At 45.2% G+C, this 5626-nt stretch overlaps 1 annotated feature.

Annotated features, from left to right (window-relative positions):
* Positions 4652-4711: an enhancer, noted in NCBI's record as "active region_13534". NCBI's record gives its function as "activates an Ori minimal core promoter by ATAC-STARR-seq in GM12878 lymphoblastoid cells {active_cell/tissue: GM12878}" and the evidence as "EXISTENCE:reporter gene assay evidence [ECO:0000049][PMID:35858748]".

Genomic DNA, 5626 nt, shown 5'->3' with positions numbered 1-5626 from the left:
CACTCCAGCCTGCATGACAGAGTGAGACTCCATCTCAACAAAAATGACAACAACAGCAAATAAACTGATAGAACATAAAATAATAAAGATATTTTAAGTTAAAATCTTAATTAATAAAGAAATGTAATCGATATTAGGATATGAAAAGTGTAAGCAAGCTAAATATTCATCTTTCATATAAAAGAATTAAAGAATGTTATCTGAAGCTGCAAATTTTAAAAAATAGATATAAATGTATTAGCTAGAGTTTTGCAGGTTCCTGCCAATAGAATTGAAAATAGAAAGAGCTCGAAGCAATGGCCTCTGGTTACCAGTAGGTTGTTGAGGAGGCGTGGCATGACTGTGACTTTCTGTTCTCAAGTGCATGTTTATTTTTACCAAGTATTTTAATTTTAATAATTTTAAATAATTACAATAGAATGAAGTAGAACTATAATAACAGCTTACAAAGATTTCCAAGAAATACGTTAAGAAACCAAGTTGCAGAAGAGAGCACACAATTTGATGCCTCGGATTTTTTAAAAAGGAGGAAGAAATTATTACATAACTATCTTTGTGTATGTCTGGGAAACGTCTGGAAATACGAGAAAGCATCGCAGCAACTAACCTGAAAAGTTCGACACGCGGGAGTGAGGCTCGCCGAGCAGGAGGCCTTGTTCCCTTGTAGTCTCTGGACTTTTTTTCCACCGTGACGTTTACCTTTATGGCGCTTTCACACTTAAATAGACAATGGGAACAACTCCTTTTTACATATTTGAAAATTCAGTCTGATTTTCTATTGCCTTTCAAATACTAATCTTCCGATTAGTTTGGAGGACAAACTTGAAAAGAAAGACAGATGATTGAATCTTTTTTTTTTTTTTTTTTTTTTTTTGAGACAGAGTCTCGCTCTGTCTCCCAGGCTGGAGTGGCGTGATCTCGGCTCACTGCAACCTCCCTCTCCTGGGTTCAAGCAATTCTTGTGTCTCAGTCTCTTGAGTAGCTGGGACTACAGACACACGCTACCACGCCCAGCTAATTTTCGTCTTTTTAGTAGAGATGGGGTTTCGCCATGTTGGCCAGGCTGGTCTCAAACTCCTGACCTCAAACAATCTGCCCACCTCAGCCTCCCAAAGTGCTGGGATTACAGACTTCAGCCACTGCGCCTAGCCTTTCAATCTCTGTAGAAGTCATATGTGAGGAGAGAGGATGCCACAGGACTGTTCTTTTAACAGGAAAGGAAACACACAACAACCTCTTCACTTTTGAGCTAAATTAAACTTGAGGTCTTGGAACCTTTCCTCATGGTTTTCCCATAAACAAGGTACCAAGAATTTGAGTAAACCAAATAATGAGGACCAAGAGAAATAGAGCAAGACACTGAGGCAAAGAATTAGTGACTGGGCCAAGCCAACGGCCAGTCACAGGAAAATATGGTCCCTGAGGGAAAGAAACAAGCAGCAAATAAGCCATACAGGGAGGGGGAGACAAGAAACTCTGGCTAGATTTTTATGCAGATTTTAAAGGCTTGGAATGGGGTTTATTTAACTTGAATTCTGATACATTAAAGATGCAGCATGCCCAGTTACAGTTTAATTTTTTAATAAACATATAAATTTCTTTCTTTTTTTTTTTTTTGAAATGGAGTCTCGCTCTGTCACCCAGGCTGGAGTGCAGTGGCACAATCTTGGCTCACTGCAACCTCTGCCACCTGGGTTCAAGCGATTCTCCTGCCTCAGCCTCCCAAATAGCTGAGATTATAGGCATCTGCCACTATGCCCAGCTAATTTTGTATTTATAGTAGAGACGGGGTTTCACCATGTTGTCCAGGCTGGTCTCAAACTCCGGACCTCAGGTGATCCACCCACCTTGGCCTCCCAAAGTGCTGAGATTACAGACATGAGCCACCACACCCGGCCAAACATATACATTTCTTAATGAAGGACTTGGAAATTTCTCCCACCAGCTTGACTAAAGAGCCCAGATCCATTAAGAATGTCTCTTAATGACCACTTGATGGCAGCATGGTTGAAATGCAGGCGCAGTCACTGGCCGCTGTAGTGTTAAAACTTTTCCAGAGCTGTTACAGAGGCAGCAGCCCCATGAATTCAGATACAGCTCTACAGAAATGTACAAGAACAGAAATACTTTTTCAGGCCCTCCAAAATAATTGTGTACCTTGGCCTTCGCTTGCTAAAAGATCAAGCAATGTTCCTTGGCATTCCCAGGAAGGAAGGAAAGAAGGAAGGAAAGGTTGCTCCATCCAGAAGAATTTTAATTTGTCTAGCTACAGTAATTAGATTTTTATTCACAAGCAGCTAGTAGAGAATCACAATGGAATGCACTTAAATTAGGTTAAAAAGGGATCTTTGAAATGTCATTTGCAAAATTAGTTTGTGATATACAATATTCTCCTGGCCTAAGGTTAAGTGGATTTGGGGAAATAGATTTCAAACCAATTTCCCATTCGAAGTTTTTCATTCTTCTCCTCCCCTCAGATTCTCCATTTGGGCATGCAGTCCGGAACATTCACCTCTTCTCCTTTGTTTTAAGTTGGAGGCTTCCACAAAGACCAAATCCTAGAAGGTACCACCACAGCAAAGCAGGCAGTGACTTCCAGCTGTAACCTGCAGACCACCAGGTCCCCCTTCCGTGAAGGGTCCTTGATCCCAGAAATAAATGTTTCATTTCTTTTGTGAGTTTTTGTTTTTACCATTGCCGCCTTCTTATCCTGTGATCCAAAGTGCAAGTAAGGAAAATGTGCATTGTTCAAAGTTAGCCAAGTGAGTACTTTTGTGTGTTGAGGACTGGCAATGAGGGAGCTTGTGAATGTGATTATTAAATGTATACTGCAGTAACTCGCATGGCACAGCAACAGAGACCAACTTCCAATCAAGGGAACTGGCAAGGACAAACCTGAAGCTCAGAACATCTGCCTGTGTTCTGTTGAACTAATGTCAGGAGGCTGCAGCCAGATACCAAGGGCTACAGGCCTCCGAGTTACATGAAGATGGGGTAGAGATGGTGCAAGCTGTCAACCAAAAAGGCCTCTGGTGAGTAGGAGAGCACACCTTCTTCCATTTCAACTTGGTGGAGAGGAGCACTCAGCAGCCCTGCTCCCCAGGACGATGCCTCCTCACTGCCTGGGAAGGAGAGCCCATCACAGGACCAGCAGTCCCTCCAGACACCAGTGGGTGGGATTTAAATGACTTCTATATTCAACACATATTTAGGAAAAGACTTCCAGTCCCATCACAGGTAGCTGCCCCCTTCCTCCCCAGTCCTGTCTCTCATGACCAAGAATCCCAGACACAGCACAGCCAATGGGTGCAAGCACAGCCTGCAGGGTGTGAAGAAGAAGGCAGGGTGCCCGGAGAGCCAGGCTCCAGGGAGGATGTGGACCTGAGCTCCTGGGCTTCCTACCACCCCTCATGGATTCCACATGGCTCTGCAGAAGCTCCAACCCTGGGACCACCCACAGACACACACAAAAGGAGCTCCAGGAAAACCGTGCATTCACCCCCACCCCCCAGCCAGAGGACCACGAACAGAGCAGCCCAACCACAGGAAACCCCTGCAGCAAGACTCATGAGACACACACATGGCCCATCCCCAGGCTCTTAGCAGGGCCGATGAGGGCTGGACCTTCCACCTCCCCACCCCCACTCCTGCCAGGGCCTCGGGCTGCGCTGAGCATCAGTTGGCTCCATCCCACCCCCTGCACAAGCAGGCAGCACCCTGACCTATCCAGGGCAATGTCAGTGGGTCCGTTGTGGAGCTGAGCCCCACTCCACCCCACCCGGCAGCAACAACCCTGAGCAAAGCAGTGTGACATGGGGCTGCTCACTGCCCTGTGCCCTCCCTGGCAAGCCCCTCACCATAAGAAAGGATAAGGGGTAGGGGGCAGGTTGAGTCCACTTTTTCCCCTCAGTATCAACCGGGCTGAGGAGGGAGCCCCCTCCCTGTGTAGCATCACTGAGGCTAAAGCTGGCAGTGGGAGGCAGGCCGTGGCACCGGCTTCCCCACAGCCTCCCTGGGGTCAGCAGGGCCCAAGGAAGCTGAGTGTAGCCGAAGCCCCACATCCACCTGAAGATACTAGAAGGGCCAGGGGAAGGTTATCATCACCCCACCTGCCTGCAGCCACCCAGCACGGTCAGGGCTCTGCTGCGGCTGTAGTGCCACGTGTACCCAGCCCAGCGGACAGCACCTGCTGCAGACGAAGACGCCAGCAGCTCGGGAGTCTCATAAGATATCCTAAATGTACGGGCTCCGATCCAAAGTCACTCAGCATACCAAGAACTAGGATAATCACAACTGGAAGGAGAAATAAACCGATGGATGACAACACGGAGATGAGTCAGAGGCTATCATTAGCTGAGCAGGATCTTCACATAACCATCATAAATACACTTCAGCATGTATGAATTCCCGTGGAATAAATGGAAAATTAGACAATTTTAGCAAAAGAATAAAGAAGAACCAAAGGAGGCCGGGCATGGTGGCTTACGCCTGTAATCCCAGCACTTTGGGAGGCCAAGGCAGGTGGATCACCTGAGGTCAGGAGGTCGAGACCAGCCTGACCAACATGGTGAAACCCCACCTCAACTAAAAATACAAAAATTAGCCTGGCACGATGGTGGGCACTTGTAGTCCCAGCTACTCGAGAGGCTGAGAGAGGAGAATCACTTGAACCCAGGAGCCAGAGGTTGCAGTGAGCAGAGATCATGCCACCTCACTCCAGCTGGGTGACAGAGTGAGACTCGGTCTGAAAAAAAAAAAAAGAAATTATAAAGCAAGAAAACACAATAACCAAAAGACAAACAAACCTAAAACCTCAATGCGTGGACTCAACCAGGACAGCGAGAGGACAAAAGACTGGACGAGGGCCAGAAGTCACCAACTCAGAGCAGCATTGAGGAAGTGGGCTGAGGAGAAAGAACAGACTCTCAGGAGCCTGTGTCATCCTCAGAGGAAAGAGAAAGTGAAACTGGAAGGTATATTTTTTAAATGGCTGTAAACTTCCCAAGTTTAGTGAAATATACTAAAGATTCAAGGATCTGAGAAAATTCCAAATGTGGTAAACCCAAAGAAATTTATACCAAGATACATCATAATCAAAGGTCTGAAAAACTAAAGACAAAGAAAAATAGCTGCAAAGTAGCCAGAGAGAAACACATTGCTTGTAGGACGTGCAAATTTTCCGTTTGAAACCATGGAACCCAAAAGGAAGTAGCAAGCGTCTCAAATACCAAGAGAAAAGGCCAGTCAACCAAAAGTCTATGGCAGGGAAAATGTCCCTCATGGACGGGTATAAATAGAGATATTCTCCAGTGAAGGAGCACTAAGAGAATCTGCCATCAGCAGGGTTACTCAAAGCATGGCTCGAGGAAGTTTCCTAAACAGAAGGGAAATTATAAAAGAAGCAATATTGGAATATTGGGAAGAAAGTGAGAACAACAGCAAAAGTAAAAAATATGGGTAAATAAATAGACTCCTTCTCCTCTTGAGTTTTCTAAATTATGTTCCATGGTTGGAAGCAAAAATGATAATGCTGTCTGATGTTCTCAATGTATGTAAAGAAAGTATTAAAGATGATAGTCATATTATAAACTATAACATAATATTGTAAACTATAATATAATATGGG

This window comes from Homo sapiens, chromosome 18, assembly GCF_000001405.40.
Source record: "Homo sapiens chromosome 18, GRCh38.p14 Primary Assembly".
Lineage (NCBI taxonomy): Eukaryota > Metazoa > Chordata > Mammalia > Primates > Hominidae > Homo > Homo sapiens.
Note: the sequence above shows the minus strand (reverse complement) of the source record. Positions and strands in the feature narration are given on the sequence as shown.